Source organism: Homo sapiens, chromosome 5, assembly GCF_000001405.40.
Source record: "Homo sapiens chromosome 5, GRCh38.p14 Primary Assembly".
In the NCBI taxonomy this organism is placed as follows: Eukaryota; Metazoa; Chordata; class Mammalia; order Primates; family Hominidae; genus Homo; species Homo sapiens.
This window is the reverse complement of record NC_000005.10, coordinates 23948760-23975622: the sequence shown is the minus strand read 5'-3', so window position 1 is coordinate 23975622 and position 26863 is coordinate 23948760. Positions and strand designations below refer to the sequence as shown.

Below are 26863 nucleotides of genomic sequence, written 5' to 3'. Positions count from 1 at the left end.
AAAGTTATAATATTACATTTTTAAATTTTTAACATATGTACAATTAATGTATACAACAATACCCCCCTCAAAAAAGTAGGAATAAAGACATATAAGGATAATAATTCTGTTTCAACAGAATTACTTTTATATAAGTACATGTAATAAGATGTATTTAGAAGCCCTGGCAGGAACACTAAGAAAATGACAAAAAAATACAATAAAAAATTAAAGATATTAAAGGAGTTAAAATTCATTCAAGAAAATATTCACTTAATGCAAGAAAGCAATAAAGGAGGAATGTAGAAAAAAGAATACGAGTCATATAAAAATAGAAATGGCAGAGGAATTTGCACACTACATGAATAATATTAATTTTGAAAGAATTTACAAATCTAATTAAGAGGAAGAGATTGCTAGAGTTGATTAAAAAGATTTAATTATATACTATCTACAGCTGACACGTTTTAGATTTCAGATGCAAAGATACAAATACATTGAAAGTTAAAGAATGGTAAAATTTGTGTCATAAGAATATAAATATTTCTCCATAAGAAATATGGAGTGACTGTGGTAATATTAGGCACTGTACACTATAAGACATAAATGACATAACTAGACATAAAGACAATTTATAATGATAAAAGCCAATCCATCACAAGCATATAAGAATTATAAAAATATACACAAATACAACAGTGTTCCAAAATGCATGAAACAGAAACTAGAAGAATTGAAGAAAGAAATGGACAATTCAACAACAATATAAAGCCTTAAATACTTCCTTTTTAATAATGGGTATAACAATTAGGCAGGCAATTGACAAGAAAATAAAAGACTTGAACAATACTATAAATCAACCTCACCTAACAAACTTCTATAGAACACACTACTCAATAACAGCAGAATACATAATCTTCTCAAATGCACATGGTACATTCTCCACCCTAGACAAAACACGTATCTAAATGTGTTTAAAACATATCTAACATATCTATCAAAACACATATCTAAATATATTTAAAAGGGTCAAAATCATGTAGAGTATGTTCTTCAATCACAAAATGGAATTACAAATTAACAGAACAAAACTGGTAAAATCACAAATATTTGGAAATTGAAGAATGCACTTCTAAAAACCAATGAATTCAAGGAAAAGTCAAAAGAGAAACTAGAAAGTTTTTTTGAAATAAATCAAACTAGATAAATGTACTTTGAGATAAATGAAAGTAAGGGCACAACATGCCCAAATTTACGGACTACAATAAAAGTAGTGTTTACAGCATTAATTTATAGCTGTAAATATCTACACTAAAAGAGAAGAGCAAACTCAAATCAATAACCTAACTTTCCAACTTATGGCACCATTTGAAGACAAACAGACTGTAGCCAAAGCACATGGAAGCAGGGGAATAACAGTGTGAAAATTAATAAAATAGAGAATAGACAAGCAATCAAATATATGAATCAAAAGTTTTCTTCTTTGAAAAAAATCAACAAAATTGGCTAATCTATAGCTATACTGACCCAGAAAAAAGTCAAAATCAAATCATTAACATCAGAAATGAAATTACTAATAAACTTAAAAAATTGAAAATTATTATAAGGGAATTCTATAAACAATTATATGCTAACAAATTAGATAACATAGATGAAATGGTCATATTCCTAAAATGCATGAACTAACAAGAATGAATTAAAAAGTATATATATTTTATATGTAAAATTCGTTGCATTTGCAATTTACAAACTACCCAAAAGAAAAATCCAAGGTTCAGGTGGCTTCGGTGGTGAATTCCACAGAACATTTAAATAACTAATTTCATATATTTACAAACATTTCCAAAGTATAGAAGGAAAGGGAAAACTTCCCAATTCACTTAAAGAAGCCAATATTAACCTGATAACAAAATTGGACAAAGTCATTACAAGCAAAGAAAACTACGGACCAATATTTATTAGGAATATTGTTGCTAAAATTCTCAACGCACAATTAGTGGTGAATGATTAGTGACTGCTAATGGAATTTGTGTGTGTGAATAAAAATGTTTTAAAATTTATTGTAGTGATGGTTTCCCAACTCTATGATTGTACTAAAAACTACTGACTATTCACTTTAAACAGCTACATTCTAAAATGTTTGAATTTTTCTCCAATAAATCTGCTTTAAAATTATTTTAAAAATACACAAAGAGGATGTTTTATTGGTATCATAGTAGACAGAGCAGTAGAATAAACCAGTGAGTACACACTTTCACAAAAAAAAGATACATGATTTATGACACAGTTGAAACTACAAACTTTTAGTATACTAGACTATTTGATGTCTATAATAAAATAAACTTAAATTTTCTCTTACAGTATAAACAATCCTACAGTATAAACAGTATAATATATATATAGTTACAGACTGAATATTGTGTATCCCCAAAAATTCAATATTAAAATCTAATCCTCAATATGATCCTCTTTGGAGCTGGATCCTTTGGGTGGTAATTAGGCCATAAGGGTGGACCCTTAATGAATGCAATTAGTGCCCTTAAAAAAAGAGGCCAGAGCGCTAGCCTGTCATCTTTCTGTGACGTGAGGATTAAAAAAAAAAAAAAAAAAGAAAGAAAGAAAAAGAAAGAAAGTGAGCTGGCTGCAACCTGACAGAGGGCCCTCGCCAGAACTCAATTATGCTGGGGCACTGATCTTGGACTTTCAGCTTCCAGAACTGTGAAAAATAAATGTTTATTATAAAAGCCACCCAGTCTATGATAATTTGTTATAACACCCTTTACTGTGATAGAAGTAAACATGGAAATTACAATAAGACCTCTACAAGATAGCAGAAGAGAATATATTTAAATTTTGAAATAGGAAAATTTTATTTTATTTTATTATTTATTTATTTTTGAGACAGAGTCTTGCTCTGTTGCCCAGGCTCGAGTGTAGTGGCACTACCTCGGCTCACTGCAAGGTCTGCCTCCCAGGTTCACGCCATTCTCCTGCCTCAGCCTCCCGAGTAGCTGGGACTACAGGCGCCCGCCACCACGCCCAACTAATTTTTTTGTATTTTTAGTAGAGACGGGGTTTCACCATGTTAGCCAGGATGGTCTCAATCTCCTGACCTCGTGATCCACCCGCCTCAGCCTCCCAAAGTGCTGGGATGACAGGTGTGAGCCACCACGCCTGGCCTGAAATAGGAAAATTTTAAAGGACATAAAGTTAATGGGCAAGAAACAGAGTTGGAAAAGCTACTCTAACAATTATTTCCAATAAAGGATTCACATGTACACAGTAACAGTTACTAATAGAAACTAACTAAATAATAGAGTATTCACTACAATGATAGTCAAAAACATTGAGGTCTTGTGGACAAAGACTTACGGACAGGTGCAAAACATAAATCCTCTTCTGCAACCCAGAACTTATTGTTCAGTATGAGTTTTGATACATGTAAGAAGGGATATTATGACACCTGAGACAGTTAACTGATGGGAGTATTGACAGCCATAAAGGTTGTTTCCAGGCCAGGCACAGTGGCTCAAGCCTGCAATCCCCACACCAAAGTGGGAGTATTGCTTAAAACCAGGAGTTCAAGACCAGCCTGGGCAAGATAGTAACAAACACCTCATCTCCACAAAAATTTAAAAATTAGCTGGGTATTGGGACATGTGCCTGTAGTTGCAGCTACTCAGGAAGCTGAGGTTGAGGCAAAAGGATTGAGCACAGGAGCTGGAGGCTGCACTAAGCATTGATGGTACCACTGTACTCCAGCCTGGGTAACAAAGACAGACCCTGTCTCTTAATAAAAAAATATTGATTCTAGGATAGTAGAATAGATAGTTAAACAGCATGGAATATGAGGGAAATCCTCAGCAGTATTAATTTTTCATTCCAGTTCCATGTTGACCATACATATGATGGCTTTTTGTTTAAAGGCTTTTATCTTGAGAACATGATGTCTGGAGTTAAAGGGATTGGCATCTTCCACACATCTGTACTATTCTTGAGTGTGATCATTTAGGAATGAATATGATTTGAACTCATACATGTTAAGAGAGGTTGCCAAATTGAGAACCAAGCAGATCCACCACCAGCAGTAAAAAGGACCCTAAAGTAAATTGGTTGAAGAAATTAGATCCCAAAGATTCTTGGTAAATTTTGAAGTCTTCATCAGTATATCCATATCAAAAGGAGATGACAGAAACCAAAATAAAAGAATTATGGGCTGAAAAGGACAACTGGATTAAAATAAGCATCATTTCATTAAAAATGGCTAACATGAAGATAAATCTTTTGACTCCAGCTCTTTAGAGGATCTAAAGTGACCTTAATGGACAGTGGAAGAAATCACAACATGGAATTCCCTGAATAAAAATTTATTGACTTTAAATAGTTTTGTCTAATGTTACATATACACAATTAAAAACAACCTCTTTACACTGAAAAAACAAACAAACAAAACAAAACAAAACATTGAGGTAACAGTTCCCAAATCAGCCAGGCCAAATGTTCACTAAACAAAATCAAACATCACTAATCAAACATCTTATAATTATGAAAACACAAATACAAATTAAGATCATTATAAGATAACAATTCATAAATATCAGAATATCTGAAATAAAACAATACAGATGGCAATACTAATTTTTGTGAAAATATAAAACCACAAAACTACTTTACACTGTATGGAGTGTATACATTGATGCAGCCACTTCAAAAAACTGATTGGCATTCATTAAAGCTAAACATACCCTATGACTCAGAAATTTCACTTCTGATTTACACCAAATGTATATACAAGATTATTTACATTGCCATATAAAAGTTGAAAATTAGAAACAATACAATTTCTCATCAACAGTGAAATACATAAATTATAACAATATGCATTAATCTAGCAATCATATTGACTGTAAATTATCCAAACACAAAGTGATACCCACAGTTTGGTTCCATGTGTTTAAAATTTATAAATTATTTGGTGTTTATGTGAGGAAGGGGAGAAATATTTAGGAAGGGATGATGGAGAAACCTCAAAATTGCTAGTAATGCTCTATCTCTTGACTTTACTCATTACTAACCATTACTTAGTAATGATTACCTGAATATATTCACTTTTTATTTTTTACCATTTGTTAAGCTATAGGTAAGATTTTTGCAGATTTTCTCCATGTGTTATAATTCAATAAATATATCATTTTACCTTTTTGCTAAAAACCCCTCTCAAGAGATGCAAAATTATATGCAAAGACCTTACCTGGGAAAACAAAATCATATACATATTTACAGAGATGGTTGAATCACCATCTCTGTAAAATAATCTCCTCCATACTCACTCTGTTACAGTGACACTGAACTTCTTGTGTTTTTTACACATAGGAAGAACATGTAATTTCTTGTCCAATGAGGGTGCCTGCAGTTTTTTGTTAAACGATATCTATTAAATTTATACTGAGACCACAGCAATAAACTAGAACTATTTTGGGAAAACTATAATGAGTGGTAAGTCTACATGTACACCCCAAGTGAGTTTTTGCATTAGGAGCAATAATATCAACCTGTCATGCTCTTTTTGCAGAACCTCTCATGGCTCAGTTCCTGCTGTACTTAAGCTTACTGTTTGTTATGATTTGAATTGTGGCTACCCCCCAAATTTCTAGCCCCTAGTATCTCAGAATATAACCTTATAGGAAATACGGTCATTGTAGGTGTAATTAGTTAAGATGCAGTCATAATGGAGCAGGGTGGGCTCTTGATCGAATATGACTGGTTTCCTTATACAAAGATATTGTGAGGACACAGGAGGGGAATACTATGAGAGCAGATAGAGACACACACAGAGAACACGATGTGACAACAAAGTAAAAGACTGAATTGGTGTATCATCTTCCAACCAAGGACTGACATCCCAAACCAGCAAGCTAGGAAGAGGCAAAAGATCATTCCACCCAGAGTTTCAAAGGGAGTACCACCCTGCTGAAACCTCTGTTTTTAATTTCTAGCTTCCAGGACTGGAAGATGATGAATTTCTGTTTATTTAAACAACTTAGTTGTCGTAATTTGTTATGGCAGGGCTGGGGAATTAATACACTGTTAGTGGGCCATCTAATCAGAGAGGCATCCCTTAGTCAATCTAACAAACATAGATCCCCCACATCATACCCTGTCTCTTGAAATCCCTTTACACTCTCCAATTTTTCCCACATCTATCTCTAAGTGATCTTCTGTAGATTAGCTATTTCACTCTCTGTCTCTCCATACAGGGTATAAGCTAAAGAGAAGCAACTTTGTAGTCAGAGGGAGTTCACTCCCTGTTTCATCCCCTTGGACTAAAGTCATATTTGGTATAGAGTGGAGAGTTGTTAAGTATTTGATGTATCAGTAAATTCATGAGTAAATGTATGATTTTATTGTGAATTTAAAAGTATTTTGTGATCTAACATATAGTCAATTAGAACAAATTAAATTTTTTATGTGTTCTCAAAATAATTTGTTTTGCTATTTTGTATGCAACGTTATATGTCATTAAGAAAAATGATCCTCTCTAAGACAACTGATGTATTTTTTAAAATTTCCACTCTGCTTTCTGTTGTAGAGTATTGATCTATATGACAGAAACAAATAGGACAAAGATAGATTCTCTCAGCCACTGAGAGAATGTCAGAAGGTAAGAGAGATGGAGCAAAATAGAATTTCACTCTAGCTTTTTCCAGCAAGTCTTTAAGAGGGGCTCTGTTCCTAGGCCAAAAGACATCATTTTATAGATTTATAGATTTAGTTCATTTATAGATTTAATTCTACTCCTATAAAACTACCAGTGGTATTCTTCACATAATTAGAAAAAAAATCTATCTAAAATTCACATGGAGTCCTATTTTAAAAAATATTTCCTTCACACTATCCTACCTTGAGTTTGCAAATGTTTTCTGATAAGTGTTTGATTTATATATTAAGCCAGTGTTTCAATTTCACCAGCTGTTATTTGATGATTTTTAAATTTACTTTCAACTGTAAGATTTCATTTATTATGAGCAAGAATTTATGTATGGGTATATGAAATTATATGAATATTGATCCTGCTTTTTAAAATAACTTTTAAAATTCCAGGTGTTTTTAAGAATATAAGCAAGAAAAACTGACTCATTTACTATAAGAAAAAAATAAATATCTCATATTGTAAATACAGTGAGTCAAATGATAGTAACATTCATTTGGTAAACGTGCAGCAAATTCAATATTTCATATTTGATTCGTTCAACAAAATGATAATTTTAGTTAAAATGCATAAATATAAATAATTTTAAATCTGACATAATGACTAATATTTTTTTAACATTGAATAAACTGAAAAACTTCAGTATAAGCTGAACAAATTTAAAGCTGTGGCAGCAAAACTTTCACATGGACGAAGAACCTTATAAGTTCTGCTATGGTGTAAAAAATCAACTGAGAATGCGATTATAACAGGATAGCTAACTCAAGAAGCATGTAGCAGTATTTGTCTTGACTTATAAACTCCTAAGGCATTTGAAGATTTACTTATCACAAGGTCCAAATGAGAAATGATTGCCTTACAGGTTGTTAAAACTATATATGAGTTCAAAAATTAATCAGGTATTGACAAATTAGGGAAAATAAAGCCAGCAAAAATGAACCCACTGCAGATATTATTAAGTCAAGTTTGTGTGTGTGTGTGTGTGTGTGTGTGTGTTAGGCTGGGCACAATGGCTCATGCCTGTAATCCCAGCACTTTGGGAGGCCGAGGTGGGTCGATCATTTGAGGTCAGGAGTTCGAGACCAGCCTGGCCCACATGGCAAAACCCCGCCTCTACTATAAATACAAAAATTAGCCAGGCATGGTGGTGGGGACCTATACTCCCAGCTACTCAGAAGGCTGAGGCAGGAGAATCACTTGAACCCAGAAGGTGGAGGTTGCAATGAGCCAAGATCGCACCTGTGTACTCCATCTTGGGCGATGGATCCCTAATTATTGATTTTACCTAGAATTTAATAAAAATGAAAGCAAACAACAAATACCTTTATATACCTGGCTTCTTCCTCTCAACATAATGTCTGTAAAATTCATCCATATTATCATGGGTATCAGTATTTCTATGTTTCATTTCTTCTTAGTTACATATTATTGGGGGATTATACCAAAATTATTTATTCATTTATCTTTGGATGGACTGTAGGACATGAGTCTGTATATGGTGTTTGGTATTATGATTAAAGGGGCTCCAAACATTCATTTATAAGTGATCTTATGAGCATATATATTCATTTTCCTTGGAAAAATACCTAGATGTTTGACTCCTGTGTCATATGATAAGTTTAGGCTTACTTTTTAAAGAGAGAGTCAGCCAGTTTTCCAAAGAGAAAAATAAAAATAAATTTACCTATTGACACTCTCTGGAATGTGTGAGAGCTCTGTGTTCTACATCCTTATGAACTGTTGCAGTTGATACCCTTTTAACTTTAGCATACCAGTTAATATAAGTGATATATTCCAAGGATGTTAGTTTGCAGTGTTTTGGTGATCAATAATGTCATTGTTCTCTTCAGGTAAATATTTTCCAGTTACATATTATTTTTGGGACATGTTTATGCAAGTGCTTTACATTACATAGGATTTTTTAATCTCCTTAATTTGTGGGAGGTTTTTGAATATTGTAGATGGAAGTACTGTGTTATATATTTTCTCCTAGACTATGACTCATCCATTCATGTTTTTTTTTATTTTTTATGGTATCTTCTGAAGAGCAAAAAGTTTTATTTTGATAAAGTACAATTTATCAAAATTGCCCTTTTTGGTAATACTTTTTGTATGCTATTTAAGAAACTTTTACCTTTACCAAGATTGCATAGATTTTTCTCCTATGTTGTCATGTAGGTGTTTAATATTTGTGGTTTTAAAATTTATGTCTACAATTTTCAATTATTTTTGTGTATCACCATAGGTGAAGATTAAAGTTCATCTTTTCGCACAAATATCTACTTTGTTCCACATTGTTTAAAGGTAGACACTTGTGTGGAAAAATAAACTTCAATCTTCACCTACCTAATTAGGTACATTGCTATCTTTAAGGTATCAAGGTACATTGAATTACTTTGGCACCTCTGTTGAAAGTTAATCAGTGGTGTCTTTGGGATTGTATTTCTGTATTTATTAATTTATGCAATGATTTATTTATGTCTCATGTGAGAATGAGATATTATGATAACTGCTCTAGATTTATGGTAAGTTGTGAACTTCGAAAAGGTGAATCCCTCAATTTTGTATGTTCTTTTTCAAACATGATTTCAGAAATGTTAGGCTTTTTGCATTTCCTAAAATATTTTAGTCCAATTTGTCACCTTTTAGAATAAACCTTTTGAAATTTAATTAGGATTGCCTTAATTTACATATTGATTTTTGGAAATTGGAAATTATAATAATATGAAGTCTTTCATTCTGTGAATGTGACACATCTCTATTTTATTAGTTTGTATTGTAATACATAAAAATTTTCACAGTTTTACTGCCTTAAGGCAATATATGTTTATTATCTCACAGTTTTTATGATTCAGAAACCCTAGCATGACTTATCTGGGTCTTCTGCTCAGAGTCTTAACTAGGCTGAGATCAAAATGTTGGGCAGATGGTGTTCTCACGAGGAGCTTGGGACTTGTTCAGATCATTCCAGTTGTTGGCAAAATTCAGTTCCTGGTTGTGATTGGATTGAGGCCTTTGGTACTGGGAGGCTTCCCAGATCCACGGGTAGTTTACAGCATGGCTCTTTGCTTTTTAAAGACCAGAAGGAGAGCATCTCTTTCTTTAGAAAGTGTCTAATCTCTCTTTTAAATACTTTACACTGTTTAAGTCAGAAAAAACTAGGAAAGCCAATCTTCCTTTTTAATGAGTCAAAGTCACCTGATTTGGGACCTTACGTCTACAAAAGTCCTTCACATTTGCCTGTGACCATATATAATGATCTTCCCACAGGAGTAATAACCCATCATATTCCCAGATCCTGCCCATATTTATGGGATGGGGATTACACAGGGCATATATATCAGTAGGTATGAATCTTGAGGGTCAGCCTAGAATCTAGCTGCCACTTCTATTTATTTAGATATTATTTACTTCCCTTAACATACTTTGCAGTTTCCATTTTAGAGGTTTATACATACTTCATTAAATGTGTTCTGAAACATTTTGATTTTAATGTTATTGTAAATGGCAGTTTTAAACTTTATTTTCCAATAATTTGCTGCTACTGTAGAAACATGCAATTGATTCTCTATATTCAGTTTGTAACTTGTGATTTTATTAAACTGCTTAGTCATTCTAGCAATTTTCTTGTTTTGGTTATAGAAATGGTTTGGCTCTGTGTCCCCACCCAAATCTGACATTGAATTGTAGCTCCCATGTTCCCCATGTGTCATGGGAGGGACCTGGTAGGAGGTAATTGAAACATGGAGGCAGGCTTTTCCCATGCTGTTCTCATAATATGAATAAGTCTCATGAGATCAGATGGTTTATAAAAAAAAAGTTCCCCCGCATATGCTCTCTTGCCTGCCACCATGTAATATGAGCCTTTGGCTTCCACCATGATTCTGAGGCTTCCCCATTCATGTGGAATGGTGAGTCAATTAAACCTCTTTCCTTTTTAAATTACCCAGTCTTGGGTATGTTTTTATTTGCAGCATGAGAACAGACGAATACAGTTATGATTGTTGCTTTTCATTTCTACAAAAACAGCCATGTCATCTGAGATAAAGAAAATTTTACGTTTATATTTTCCAATATGTATAATTTCTTTTTAACTTTAATAGACTACCTAGACCCTTCTCTACAGTATGGTACAGTAAGTAAACCTACTTGCATGATTGGATATCCTTGAAGAGAGAGAGCATTTTTTGCTAGCTTATGATCTTGGGAAAAAGTTATTCACTTTTTCTCTATTAAGGTTGATATTTGCCATACGGTTTTTGAGATAGCCTTTAAAAGTTTGATGGTATTTTCTTCAATACCTACTGTTGTGAGAGTTTTTTATCATGAATGGATATATTCAATTTTGTCAAATGTTTTAATGTATCATTGAGGAGGAATTATTCTGAGCTTTTTTTTGAAGTTAGTGATATAAAGCTAACTATATTATCCTCAGTTAATATTTTAATATTTCAATGCTCTACAGAGATATTCTCCCTTTAATTCCTAATTTTAGTAACCCTTACATTTCCTTTTGATTTCTCCCATCAGTCTGTATATTTGGTTGTAAATGTTATTCATCTTTTCAAAAGACTATTTTTGGCTTAGTTCGTTTTGTTTTTCATTTTTTTCTTTATTTTTAGCATTTATTTATATCTGCTTATTTACTTGCTTACTTATTCACTAAGTTGCTTTTCTAATTTTTCTGTTGTTAGATGATTTTTTTTACTTTTCTTCTTTTTTTTTTTACTACAAATACTTAAAGCTACAAATTTTTCTTTGAATGCTGTTTTAGCCGAATTTCCTACATTTTGATATGAGGTATTTTCATTATTCAGTGTTGATATGGTTTAGCTGTGTCCCCACCCAAATCTCAAATTGAATTGTAATAATCCCCACATGTCAAGGGTGGGGCCAGGCAGAAATAATTGAATCATAGGGGCAGTTTCTCCCATACTATTCTCAGGGTAATAAATAAGTCTCATTATACCTGATCGTTTTATAAATGAGAGTTCCTCTGCACAAGCTCTCTTGCCTCCTGCCATGTAAGATGTGCCTTTCTTTCTCCTTTGACTTCTGCCATAATTGTGAGGCCTCTCTAGCAATGTGAAACTGTGAGTCCATTAAATCTCTTTCCTTTATAAATTACCGAGTTTGGGATATGCCTTTATTAGCAGTGTGAGAACAGACTAATTTTGATTTATTCTTTGAAACCGAGATCACTTAAAAACATTTTGCTTAATATCTAGAGCATATTTTACTTATATGGCACTGTTTTACTCAAAGCAAATTTATTTGCAAAGTCAGCAATGGATATTAAGGAGATCTTATGGCAAGCCAAAATTTTCATGTCCCATACTTTTAGGCACTAGTCTAACCCTATACTGCCCAACCTGTAGCGTTTCTGTTCGGTTTCCAACTACAGAGTTGCCATTCTCTGGTATTTCTTGGATAATCTCGCTTTGTGCATGCATGTTCAGTTTGGTCCTAAGCTGCAGAGTTGCAGGGGCCCCTAGATTGCCTCCTGTCCATATCTTTTCACCTTCAACACTGCATTCTGTGCATTCTAGCTGCTTCAGTTGTCACAAGTTTTTTTGTCTCCTTACTTCAGCAGGTCTATCATGCTCTTATTGGAATCAGCTTGCTGCATATGGTTGAGGAAGAGTCCCTAGGCTAAGAGCCAGAGAAAATATGGAGTTGATCTTGTGATTTTTCCCTTCTCACAGAGACCACAGGTAGATAACTGATGTATAATCCCTGAAATATGTTTTCAAATATAATTTCTCTAATTTTATAAATTATTTTCCCAAGAGGGTCATTCAGATGCCAGTTACTCCATCATAAGTGAGAACATAAAAATAAATTATGCACGTAAAAATATATAAATGGGTTAAAAAACAGCAAAAGTTAGCAAAAGAAAGCAAAAGTTACACTATTAAATATTAACTGAATAAACTGGGAAGAAAATTACATGATTCATGCAATCAATTAAATTCTTTAGAAAAACACAATAATACTAAGGAAAACAAAACAGCATAACTAATAAAAATAAAAATAATAAGTTAATAAATTAGAAATTAGAATAAGAATCCAAATAATGATTATTAAAAATAGATTAAAATTTACATATTGAGAAAAATTCATATTGCTAATGTGTAATAATTGATTACAAAACAAAATAAGGAGGAAATTTAAAAGGTTGTGATACATTATTGTTATTATTATTACTATTATTTTGGACAGGGCACCACTACGTTGCCCAGGCTGGTCTGCAGTGTCATGACTATGGCTCACTGCATCCTCGACCTCCAGGGCTCAAGCAATCCTCCCACCTCAGCTGGTACTCCAGGCACAGGTCACCATGACAGCTTATTTTTCTGTAGAAACTGTGTATTGCTATGATGCCAAGGTTGGTGTTGAACTCGTGGGCTCAAGAATCCTTCCAAAGTTCTTGGATTGCAGGCATGAGCCACCACACTTGGCCATGACATATTAGTTTGATAATGCTATAGAAACGAAGTAGATCACCTCAATGAAATCTGTTTTCTAAAAGTACATAATTTACCAAATCTTACCTTAAAAGGTAGAAACAAAGTTAAATCAGACACATTCCTATAGAAGTAGATGATGAAAACAAATCCAAACCAGAAGAACTGCTTTTTACAAACAGCACCAATCTAAACTATTTTCATTGAGGATTGTCAATTAAAAAAAAAAACAAGGAATTTTTATCTTTGCCAAACAGATTGGAGATGATTACTGAAAACGAGTACACTAGTCATAAAATAGTGTAAATAGTCATTATTTTTCATTGCCAGTGAAGTGCAAATTTGTATAGCCTCTAAAAATGCAGTGTGCTAATATGTGTCTAATTTAGACATGCACATAACCCTTGTACCAGAAGTGTTTGTATTTACAATATCTCACCTGTGAGAGATAGTTAAAGAGCATTGTTTTAAAACACCGAAACATGGAAATCAATCTAAATGTCCTTTAAGAAAGAACAATGTTAAAAAATCATATTGTATTTATGTATTGAAATACAAAAAATTATTATAAAGAATTAGTCACTTTCATATACAATGATTTGAAATATTGCAAAATATATTGTTGTTAAAAAGTACTGTTCAGAATACAACTATAATATCCAACACATTATTATTAAAAGTGAATAAATATACATGTATTTTTGCAAATACCTAAAATATCTATGAAAGGATGAAGAAAAATGTAAAAGTAATTTCCAGTGAGTAAGTTATCTTCATGTTGAGAAAAGAGTTTGGCAAAGTTTTTTTTTTGTATTTTTGTAAAAGATAAAATAATCTATGTATTGTGGGTCACATATACCCTAGCCATACATTTCTTGTTTTTTATAAAACTTTTAAAATATAAAAAATATTACTAGTTCAAAGGCCAGGGATTCTAAAACTTTATTCTTTCATACATTATCTATGTATGTTTATACTTTATTTTATATCATAGACTCATTAATATTGAACTAAACATCCCTCCCAAACTACCATTATGGCATGAAAATATGAACATACGTATGAAGTTATATTTGTTTTTATATTCTACCTCATTTTATATTAAAGATTTTCTTTGGTTGAGGTAAATGCTACCCTAAATTTTGGTTCAGTCTTTTTATTTTTTTATTTTAAGTTCAGAGATACAAGTGCAGGATGTGCAGGTTTGTTACATAGGTAGGCATGTGCCATGGTGGTTTGCTGCACCTATCACCCCATCACCTAGGTATTAAGCCCAGCACGCATTAGCTATTTTTCCTGATGCTCACCCACCTCCCAGTCTCCCATGACAGGCCCCAGTGTGTGTTGTTATCCTCCATGTGTCCATGTGTTCTCATTGTTCAGCTCCCACTTGTAAGTGAGAACTCTTGGTGTTTGGTTTGTTGTTCCTGAGTTAGTTTACTGAGGATAATGGCTTCTGGATCCATCCATATCCCTGTAAAGGACATGCTCTCATTTATTTATATGGCTGCATAGTATTCCATGGTGTATATGTACCACATTTTCTTTATCCGATCTATCATTGATGGGCATTTGGGTTGATTCCATGTCTTTACTATTGTGAATAGTGTTGCAGTGAACATATGCATGTATGTATCTTTATATAAAATGATATATTTCTTTGGGTATATGCTCAGTAATGGGATTGCTAGGTCAAATGGTATTTCTGGTTCTAGGTCTCTGAGGAATCAACACACTGTCTTCCACAATGGTTAAACTAATTTGCATTCCCACCAAGAGTGTAAAAATGTTGCTATTTCTCCACAACTTCACCAGCATCTATTGTTTCTTGACTATTTAAAAATCACATTCTGTCTGGCATGAGATGGTATCTCATTGTTGTTTGATTTGCATTTCTTTAATGTGTTATTTTTTCATATGTTTGCTGGCCTCATGCAAGTTTTCTGTTGAGAAGTGTTTGCTCATGTCCTTTGCCCACTTTTTAATGGAGTTATTCATTTTATTCCTTGTAAATTTGTTTAAGTATCTTGTAGATTCTGGATATTAGATCTTTGTCAGATGGATACATGGCAAAATTTTTATCCCATTCTATAGGTTGTCTGTTTGTTTTGATGATAGTTTCTTTGGCTGTGCAGAAGCTCTTTAGTTTAATTATATTCTATATGTCAACTTTTGCTTTTGCCACAATTGCTTTTAATGTTTTCATCATGAAATTTTGCACATGCCTATGTCCATAATGGTATTGCCTAGATTTTTCTTCTAGGGTTTTTATAGTTTGGGGTTTTATATTTAAGTCTTTAATTCATCTTGAGTTAATTTTTGTATAAAGTGTAAGGAAGGGGTCCAGTTTCAATTTTCTGCATATGGCTAGACAGTTCTCCCAGCACCATTTATTAAATAGGTAATCCTTTCCCCATTGATTGTGATATGGTTTGGCTGTGGGGACTCCCCACCAATCTCATCTTGAATTGTAGTTCCCATAATTACCACATGTTGTGGGAGGTACCGGTGGAAGATAATTGAATAATGGAGGTGGTATGCCCTATAATGTTCTTGTGGTAGTGAATAAATCCGACGAGATCTGATGGTTTCATAAGGGAAAAACCCTTTCACTTGGTTCTCTTTGATTCCTCTTGTCTGCTGCCATGCAAGACTTGCCTTTCATCTTCCACCATGATCGTGAGGGCTCCCCAGCCACGTGGAACTGTGAGTCCATTAAACCTCTTTTTCTTTAGGAATTACCTAGTCTCATATATGTCTTTATCAGCAGTGTTAAAATGGAATAATACAGCTTGTTTTTGTCAGGTTTGTCAAAGATCAGATGGTTGTAGATGTGCAGTCTTACTTCTCAGTTCTGTATTGTTCCTTTGGTCTATATGTCTGTTTTTGTACCAGTATCATGTTCTTATGGTTACTGTAACCTTGTAGTATAGTTTGATTTCAGGTAGCATGATGCCTCCAGCTTTGTGCTTTTTGCTTAAGATTGTCTTGGCTACACAGGCTGTTTTTTTATTCCATATTAATTTTAAAGCAGTTGTTTTTTTCTAATTCTCTGAAGAACATCACTGGTAGTTTAATGGTAATAGCATTGAATTTATAAATTACTTTGGGCAATATGGCCATTTTCATGATATTGATTCTTTCTATCCATGAATATGAAATGTTTTTCCATTTGTTTGTGCCTGCTTTGATTTTCTTGAGCAATGCTTTGTGGTTCTCCTTGAAGAGGTCCTTCACTTTTCTTGTTAGCTGTATTCCTAGGTATTTTATTTTCTTTGTAGTAATTGTTATTGGAAGTTCATTTATGATTTGGCTCTCCACTTGTCTGTTGTTGATGTATAAGAATGCTTGTGATTTCTGGCATTGATTTTGTATTCTGAGACTGCTGAATTTGCTTATCAGCTTAAGCTTTTGGGCTGAGATGAAGGGATTTTCTAGATACAGGATAGTGTCATCTGCAAACAGAGACGGTTTGTCTTCCTATATTCCTATCTGAATACATTTTATTTCTCTTACCTGATTGGCCTGGCCAGAAATTCCAATACTATGTTGAAAAGGAGTAGTGAGAGAGGGCATTCTTGTCTAGTGATGGTTTTCAAGAGGAATTCTTCCAGCTTTTGCTCATTCAGTATGATATTGGCTGTGGCTTTGTCATAAATGGCTCTTATTTTTTTGAAATATCTTCTATCAATACCTAGTTTATTGAGACTTTTAAACTTGAAGGTTGTTGAATGTTATCAAAGGCCTTTTGTGAACCTGTTGAGATAATAATGTGGTTTCTGTTTATGTAATAGATTATGTTTATTGATTTGCCTATGTTGAACCAGCCTTGCATCCTGGGGATGAAGCCAACTTGATCATGGTGGATAAGCTTTTTGATGTGCTGCTGCATTCAGTTTGCCAGTATTTTATTGAGGCTTTTCACATCGATGTTCGTCAAAGATATTGGCCTAAATTTGTTGTTGTTGTTGTACCTCTGCTGTGTTTTGGTATCAGAATGATGCTGGCCTCATAAAACGAGTTATGGAGGAATCTCTGCTTATCAATTGTTTGAAATAGTTTCAGAAGAAATGGTACCAACTCCTCTTTGTACGTCTGGTAAAATTCAGCTATAAATCCCTCTGGTTGTGGGCTTTTTTTTTTTTTTTTTGGTTGGTAGGTGTTTATTACTGCCTCAGTTGTTTAGGAACTTGTTATTGATCTATGCAGGGATTCATTTTGTTCCTGGTTCAGTCTTAGGAGGGTGTATGTGTCCAGGAATTTGTCTATATAATTTTTATGTATTTGTTTATAGGGTATATGTATATATATTATATTTTATGTTATATTTATATGAGTTTATATGCTGATTTTATTTCCAGTGGGTTAATATTATACTTAATGTTATGTACATAAATATTTATTTATATTAGAGTACTTGCTTTGTAATTCTTTCACTTGGATAAATGTAGCAAATCACATTATTTGAGTGTAACAATCTCCTCTTGATGGCCTCTATGTTTCTTAATTTCTGCTACTGTGGATAGCTGATAAGAATATACTTGTATAAATCTCTGAGTTAATGCGTGAAAGAATTGTTCTTGTATAAAGAAGTGGAAGCAGTATTTTAAGGTATAGAGCATGTAATTCCTCATCTTTATAAAATCATACAGTAATAAACTCTTTGCCAGTGTGGTTGTATCAATGGATACTTGTACATTCCTCAGCATTTACTTCAACATCTGATGTTTTCAAATGTTTTAATTTTCTCCATCAAATGGTCATAAAATTTTATCTTATGACCTTTATTTTAATGTCTTCATTATCAATGATGCTTGCCTCTATGTGACTCCTTTCTACAGAAAGTAAATTCCTGACTTTTCCCACTTTCTATTGGTTTTAATTGCACTTTCTTATTGTCTTTATGTATTCGTAATAGGGATACTTTTGTCGTATCAGCAAGATATAAGAAATTTATTTATCTATTTATTGGTTTGAGGTAGAGTCTTGCTCTGTCACCCAAACTGGAGTGCAGTGGGATGATCTTGGCTTGCTGCAACCTCCACCTCTTGAGTTCAAGTGATTATCCTGCCTCAGCCTCCCCAGCAGCTGGAGTGACAGGTGCATCCCACCACCCCCAGCTAATTTTTGTATCTTTTAGTACAGATTGGGTTTCTGCATTTTGGCTAGGCTGGTCTCAAACTCCTGACGTTAAGTGATCTACCCACCTGAACCTCCTAAAGTGCTGGAATTACAGGTGTCAGCAAATATTCCCAGCCAATAAATTTAATACACTTCTATTCCACTGAACTATTATCTTGTCTGTTCTTGTACCGATAGTATTTCCTATCAGTTTTCTAAGAATTACCTACAGCTTCACATCTCAATAAGTATTAGGGCAAATCCCACATTTAGTTTTTTCTGCAGCAGTATTTTGCCTGTTCTTGGATGTAAAATCTACTATTTTCTCTTTCTAATTTTGTAATTAGATAGATATTTGGGCATAAAATCTACCAAATGCATTTCAAATCCTCTTAATAGATATTTTAAAAATTCTGTAGAAATCTTATTGAAATCAATGGCATTGACTGTACAAATAAACTTGAGGAAAATTGATACCTTTTTATTATATTTTCTAATATAAATAGACAAATTCCTCCACATTTTTAACAATTGTGTTTTGTGTCTTCTAAGAAATGAACAATTTAATTTTATTTTTCAATTATGTATAGAAAGACACCAGCAATTTATATTAATTTTATGTTCAGATACCTTATTAAACTTTCCAAACAACTTAAAAAACATATTTCAGGATATTATCCATAAAAACTTCCTCAGTCTCACTAGACAGGCCAACAGGCAAATTCAGCAATTACAGAGAACCCCTGAAAGATTCTACAACAAGAAGATTATCTCCAAGACACATAATTGTCAGATTTTTCCAAGGACGAAATGAAAGAATATTAAAGGCAGCCAGAGACAAAAGGCAGGTAACCTACAAATGGAACCCTATTAGACTAACAGTGAACCTCTCAGCAGAAACTCTACAAGCTTCTTAAAAAAAGAAGTCTTCAACCAAGAATTTCATACCAGCCAAAGCAAGAATCCAAAGGGTAGGAGAAATAAGATCTTTTTCAGATAAACCAATGCTGAGAGAGTTTGTTACCATCAGACCCACCTTATAAGAGATCTTGAAACAAGCACTAAATATGAAAAAGAAAGACCATTACCAGCCAATAAAAAAACACACTTAAGTACATAGACAAGTGACATTGTAAAGCAACCACATAAACAAGTTGGCATAATAACCAGCTGATAACATAATGACAGGATCAAATCCACACATATCAATACTAACTGTGAATGTAAATAGGCTAAATGTCTCATTTAAAAAGCACAGAGTGACAAGCTGGATACAAAAGCAAGATTTGTTGATATGTGGTCTTCAAGAGACCAGCCTTACACGCAATGACACCCATAGGCTCAAAGTAAAGACAAGGAGGAAAATCTACTGAGCAAATGGAATTCAGTAAAAAAAAGCAGGGGTTGCAATCCTAATTTCAGACAAAACAAACTTTAAAGCAACAAATATTAAAAAAGAAAAAGAAAAAGAAAAAGAAGGGCATTACATAATGGTAAAGGATTCAATTTGAAAAGAAGACCTAACTACCCTAAATACATATGCAACTACCACAGGAACATCCAGATTCATAAAGCAAGTTCTTAGACACCTACAAAGAGAATTAGGCTCCCACACAATAATAGGGGGAAACTTCAACACTCCACTGATACTTAGATCATCGAGGCAGAAGATACTCAGGACATGACCTCAAAATTGGACAAAATAGATTTCATAGACCTCTGAAGAACTCCCCACCAAAAACAACAGAATATACATTCTTCTCATCACCACAAGGCACATATTTTACAATCAATCATATAGTCATAAAACAATCCTCAGAAAATGTGAAAGAACTAAAATTACACCAAACACACTCTTGGACCACAAACAATAAAAATAGAAATAAATAATTAAAAAATTGCCCAAATATATGCAAACACATGGAAAGTAAGTAACCTGCTCCTGGATGGCTTTAGATAAATAATGAAATTAAGGATAAAACAGAAATTCTTTGAAACTAATGAGAACAAATACACAAGTTACCAGAATCTCTGGGATTTAAGGCAGTGTTGAGAGAAATTTATAGCACTAAATGTCCACATCAAAAAATTAGAAAGATCTCAAATTAACAACCTAACATCACAGCTAAAGGAACTGGAGAAACAAGAGCAAACCAACTCTAAAGCTAGAAGACAGACATTAAAAAATCAGCTAAACTGAATAAGATCGAGACACAAAAAAAATTCAAAAGATCAACAAATCAAGGAGTTGACTTTTTGAAAAAAATAGTAAAGTAGATAGGTGGCTGGGCAGATTAATAAAGAAGAAAAGAGAGAAAATCTAAAGAAACAAATTTAGAAATGACAAATGGGATGTTGTCACTGACCCCACAGAAATACAAATAATAATCAGAGACTACTAGGAACACCTCTATGCACACAAACTAGAAAACTTAGAAGAGATGGATACATTTCTGGATTCATACACCCTCCCAAGACTGAACCAGGAAGACACTGATTCCCTGAAAAGACAAATAACAGGTTCCAAAATTGAACCAGTAACAAATAGACTACCAACTAACAAAAGCCCAAGACCAGATGGAGTCACAGCCAAATTCTGCCAGATGTACAGAGAAGAGCTAGTACCATTTCTGCTGAAACTATTCCCAAATAAATGAGGAGGAAGGACTTCTCCCCAACTCATTCTATTAAGTCAGCATCATTCTGGTACCAAAACCTAGCAGAGACACAGCGAAAAAAAAAAAAAAAAGAAAGAAAACTTCAGGCCAATATCTTGGATTAACATTGATGTAAAAATTCTCAACAAAATACTAGCAAACTGAATTCAGAAGCACATCAGACAGCTAGCTAATCCACAATGATCAAGTAGACTTTATTCCCTGGGTGCAAGTTTGGTTTAACATCTGCAAATCAATAAATGTGATTCATCACATAAACAGAACCAAAGGCAAAAACTACATATTTATCTTAACAGATGCAGAAAACACTTTTGATAAAATTCAACATCCCTTCATGTTAAAAACTTTCAATAGCCTAGGCATTGAAGGAACACACCTCCAAAAAAGAAAAAAAAAAAAAGGCCATCAATGACAAACCCACAGGCAACATCATGCTGAATGTGCAAAATCAAGAAGCATTTCCCTTGAAAACCAGCACAAGACAAGCATGCCCTTCCTCAACATTCCTCTTCCTATTGGAAGTTCTGGCCAGGGCAATCAGGCAAGAGAAAGAAATAAAGGGCATTCAAATTGGAAGAGAGGAAGTCAAACTATCCCTGTTTGCAGACGGCATGTTTCTGTATTTAGAAAACCCCATAGTCTCAGGCCAAAAGTTCCAGCTGATAAACAATTTTGGCAACATCTCAGGATACAAAATCAACATAAGAAACTACTGGCGGCCGGGCGCGGTGGCTCACGCCTGTAAACCCAGCACTTTGGGAGGCCGAGGCGGGCAGATCACGAGGTCAGGAGATCGAGACCATCCTGGCTAACACGGTGAAACCCCGTCTCTACTAAAAATACAAAAAATTAGCCGGGCAAGGTGGCGGGCGCCTGTAGTCCCAGCTACTTGGGAGGCTGAGGCAGAAGAATGGCATGAACCCCGGGGGGCAGAGCCTGCAGTGAGCCGAGATTGCGCCACTGCACTCCAGCCTGGGCGAAAGAGCGAGACTCCGTCTCAAAAAAAAAAAAAAAGAAAAAAAAAAAGAAATTACTGGCATTCCTATATATCAACAACAGCCAAGCTGAAAATCAAGTCAGGAATGCCATCTAATTTATAATGGATACAAAAAAATAAAACACCTAGGAATACAGCTAACCAGGGATGCGGAAGATCTCTACAATGAGAATTACAAAGCACTGCTCGAAAAATCAGAGATGACATAAACAAGTGGAAAAACATGCTATGCTTGAGAATAGAGAGAATCGATATAATTAAAATGGCCTTACTGTCCAAAGAAATTTACAGATTTGCTATTTCTGTCAAACTACCAATGTCATTCTTCACAGAACTAGAAAAGAAAACTCTTTTAAAATTCATTAGAAACAAACAAATAAACAAAGCCTAAGGCAATCCTAAGCAAAAAGGACAAAGATAGAGGCATATCTAACCAACTTGAAACTGCACTATAGCGCTACAGAAATCAAAACAGTGTGGTACTGGTATAAAAACAGACACGTAGACCAATGGAACACAATACAGACCCCAGAAATAAGTCTGCACACCTACAACCATCTCATCCTTGATAAAAATGACAAAAATAAGCAATAGGGAAAGGACTATTCAATAAATGGGTAACTGGCTAGCCATATGCAAAAAATGGAAACTGGACCCCTCTCTTTCATTATATATATATACACATACATACATATATATTTAAATCAACTCAAGATAGATTGAAGACTTAAATGCAAAACTCAAAACTATAAAAACCCTGGAAGACAACAAGGCAATACCATTATAGACATAGAAACTGACAAGTATTTCATAATAAAGACACCAAAAACAACAGCAACAAAAGTAAAAATTGATTAATGAGATCTAATTATACTAAAGAGCTTCTGCACAGCAAAAGAAACTATCAACAGAGTAAACTGACAACCTACAAAATGGGAGAAAATATTTGCAAACAATGTATCTGACAAAGATCTAATATCCAGCATCTATAAGGAACTTAAACAAATTTACAGGGGAAAAACAACCCCATTAAAAAGTGAGCAATAGCCATGAACAATCACTTTTCAAAAGAAAACATATATGTGGTCAAAAAACCTGTATCAAGCTCAGTATCACAGATCATTACAGAAATGAAAATCAAAACCACAATGAGATACTATTGTGTCCAGAATTGGTGGGTTCTTGGTCTCACTGACTTCAAGAATGAAGCCTCGGACCCTCGCGGTGAGTGTTACAGCTCTTAAGGTGGCGCGCGTCTGGAGTTTGTTCCTTCTGATGTTCGGATGTGTTCAGTTTCTTCCTTCTGGTGGGTTCGTGGTCTCGCTAGCTCAGGAGTGAAGCTGCAGACCTTCGCGGTGAGTGTTACAACTCATAAAAGCAGTGTGGACCCAAAGAGTGAGCAGTAGCAAGATTTATTGCAAAGAGCGAAAGAACAAAGCCTCCACAGTGTGGAAGGGGTCCCGAGCGGGTTGCCACTGCTGGTTCAGGCAGCCTGCTTTTATTCTCTTATCTGGCCCCACCCACATCCTGCTGATTGGTAGAGCCCAGTGGTCTGTTTTGACAGGGCGCTGACTGGTGCGTTTACAATCCCTGAGCTAGACACAAAGGTTCTCCACGTCCCCACTAGATTAGCTAGATACAGAGTGTCCATTGGTGCATTCACAAACTCTGAGCTAGACACAGGGTGCAGACTGGTGTGTTTACACACCTTGAGCTAGATACAGAGTGCCAATTGGTGTATTTACAATCCCTGAGCTAGACATTAAGGTTCTCCAAGACCCCACCAGAGTAGCTAGATACAGAGTGTCGATTGGTGCATTCACAAACCCTGAGCTAGATACAAGGTGCTGATTGGTGTATTTACAAACCTTGAGCTGGACATAAAGGTTCTCCATGTCCTCACCAGACTCAGGAGCCCAGCTGGCTTCACCCAGTGGATCCCTCACCGGGGCTGCAGGTGGAGCTGCCTGCCAGTCCCGCGCCGCGCGCCCGCACTCCTCAGCCCTTGGGTGGTCGATGGGACTGGGCGCCCTGGAGCAGGGGGCGGCGCTCATCCGGGAGGCTCGGGCAGCACAGGAGCCAACGGAGGGGGTGGGAGGCTCAGGCATGGCGGGCTGCAGGTCCCGAGCCCTGCCCTGAGGGAAGGCAGCTAAGGCCCAGCGAGAAATCGAACGCAGCGCCGGTGGGCTGTCACTGCTGGGGTACCCAGTACACCCTCCACAGTCGCTGGCCCGGAGGGTGTACTCCTCATTGCTCGGCCGCGGCGGGGCCAGCCGGCTGCTCCGAGTGCAGGGCCCGCCAAGCCCACGCCCACCCGGAACTCCAGCTGGCCGCAAGCGCCGCGCGCAGCGCCGGAAGCGCCGCGCGCAGCCCCGGTTCCCGCTGTCGCCTTTCCCTCCACACCTCCCTGCAAGCTGAGGGAGCCGGCTCCGGCCTTGGCCAGCCCAGAAAGGGGCTGCCACAGTGCAGCGGTGGGCTGAACGGCTCCTCAAGTGCCGCCAAAGTGAGAACCCAGGCAGAGGAGGCGCCGAGAGCGAGCGAGGGCTGTGAGGACTGCCAGCACGTTGTCACCTCTCAATATCTTTGATGAGTTCCAAAATTTTTAAATATTAAATATTTATAATACTTTAAGATTTATTTGAAAATGTTAATGAAACAAAGTGTAGAATCTGGATGCAATTCAAAAATGCCTCAAATATTTTATCTCACACCACATATGACATTAGTAAAATTATATTCATGACCTATACATCTTAAAAAACATTGAAACTTGCTTAGTTATAATTTAGCAAAAAAAAATTTTTTTAAAAACCTGTGAGATGGGCATTTAGCAAAAAAAAAAAATCTTGCTTAATTAATTTTGACCCCTTCTAAAAGTTCTTCTCACTCGTTTATCACTTATAATTTATATCTAAATAGTTAAATAATATATTTCATTTATAAATTGGAGAGATAATTATCTTAGCAAATTTCTTTAATTACACAATTGTATTTATCTTCAGTCATTGAGAGTTATGTAAGACTTAACTTCATATATTAGAGAAAAAAAGGAGTATTTACATCTTAAATTGTACAATATAACTTCTTTTTTTACCCATGTGATGTAGTTATGTTGATTAATACATTTGGTTGTAATTCCACATATTGTAAGTAACATTACATTTTTAGTAAGCCATTTCTTGCTGTGTAATCAACACTAATTCACTCTGGCTTCTAACGCTTATGCCCATATTTCCATGTTTGAAGGGTGACTATTGCTCTACTAGACTCATATATGATTGTCTTGACTTAATGTTAAGCTGCAAATTACATGCAAATCTCCTCCATATATTTCCTAACTCTCTTTAAATCATTGGTTACTATTCAGCTCCTCAAATCACTGTCTTTTGATGGCAGATCCAAAACAGCAAAAAGACAGGCCAACTTCCTGAATCATAGGTATAGCCTTTGCTTATATCTCACTTTACTCTCTTTTGACCACCGTAAGCCAGAGAGCAAATCCCAAATTTATGGAGCCAGAAAGGAGTGAATGTTTGTTGAGAAGTATCTCATTTTGTATCATACATATTATCTTCGCTGGGTCTGTTTCTTAGTATTAATGTGTACATGCATGTACACACACAACTATTATTACACTTAAAATTTACATAAACAGTTAAATTTTGGATTGATACTCATAATTAAAATACTATTTGTATACTTAATGACAACTCTTGGATTTAGGATTAGTATCAATCAATAAACCATCTGGTAACAAAATTTCCAAAAAAAAAAAAACAAATCTAAAGTTATGTCTTTTTTGTCAAAGTTTTTAAAAACAATTTAAAAAGAGAAATTAAAAAACTATAGTGAGAGTCTTCCAGTTACAGCTTTGATGTGTAGAAAACTTGGAAGTCATTACTCCTGCCTTTCTTTTTGTTTTGTTTTGTTTTTGACATGTAGTCTCATTCATTTCACTCACTCTGTTGCCCAGGCTAGAGTGTGCTGGCGCCATCTTGGCTCACTGCAATCTCTGCCTCCGGAATTCAAGTGATTCTCCTGCCTCAGCCTCCTGAGTAGCTGGGATTGCATGTGTGCCACCGTGCTTGGCTGATTTTGTATTTTTAGTAGAGATGGGCTTTCACCATGTTTACCAGGCTGCTCTGTAACTCCTGACCTCAGGTGATCCACCCGCCTCAGCCTCCCAAAGTGCTGGGATTACAGGTATGAGCCACTGCTTCCGGCCCCTATCAAGAAGAAGAAGAAGAAGGAGGAGGAGTGGGAGGGGAAGGGGGAGGAAGGGAAGGAGGAAAGAAGAGGAAGAGAAAGAAGGGGAAGGGGAAGGAGAGGAGGAGGAAGAGGAGGAAGAAAAGACACTAAAGAGTAGTGATCATCTTTAGATCAAGTAAAGAACTGAGGTCCAAGTTATCTCTGATTGCTGAGCTGAGAGAAAGATATTTTTTCCACTCCAGCCTCCATTGGCTTTTCTGTCTCACCTAAGAGGGAAAAGCATATAGTTTGCAGGGTCAGGGCTTAAAGGAAATATATTGGGAATGCTGTAGCCAGGGAACATAGTAGATTATAAAGGTTGAAAAAAGAACAATACTACTTTATAAACATTTGTGAAGGTAACAGCCTGAGACATAGGCACACAAAATATTGAGATTTAATTAAAAGATTAAAGAGAGCTCATCATTCTTCACACTTTGTTGTACAACAGCCAAACTCAGTATAACAGTGTATTAAATTTGAAGGATCTAAACTTCACAGACTATCTCTGAGCAGGAGTATGTAGAAAAACCAAAGTCAAGAATAGAGAAAAATATCAAAAAACTGGGAAGAAATGGAGCCTCTGGCACTTATAGATAGAGCAAAAATTTTTTAAAGCTTAATTTTTAGTCATATTAATTAAATACTCACACATGGTTCTATC

General features: G+C 35.2%; 1 long non-coding RNA gene and 1 pseudogene across 1 annotated transcript in view, besides 1 other annotated feature; one reads left to right on the top strand and one right to left on the bottom strand.

Annotated features, from left to right (window-relative positions):
• The window catches only part of LINC02899 (long intergenic non-protein coding RNA 2899), a 226918-nt gene extending 202643 nt beyond the window's left edge, over window positions 1-24275 (bottom strand). The window contains exon 1 of the long non-coding RNA NR_131245.1: window positions 23820-24275. This is a non-coding gene — a long non-coding RNA (long intergenic non-protein coding RNA 2899). The remainder of the gene's footprint in view (window positions 1-23819) is intronic.
• On the top strand, window positions 3329-3435 carry LOC124900210 (uncharacterized; annotated as a pseudogene).
• Window positions 23566-24065: an enhancer, noted in NCBI's record as "H3K27ac hESC enhancer chr5:23951667-23952166 (GRCh37/hg19 assembly coordinates)". NCBI's record gives its function as "activates a minimal SCP1, AML or CMV promoter by ChIP-STARR-seq in naive H9 embryonic stem cells {active_cell/tissue: H9 hESC(naive)}" and the evidence as "EXISTENCE:reporter gene assay evidence [ECO:0000049][PMID:30033119]".
• Window positions 24276-26863: the final 2588 nt, after the last annotated feature.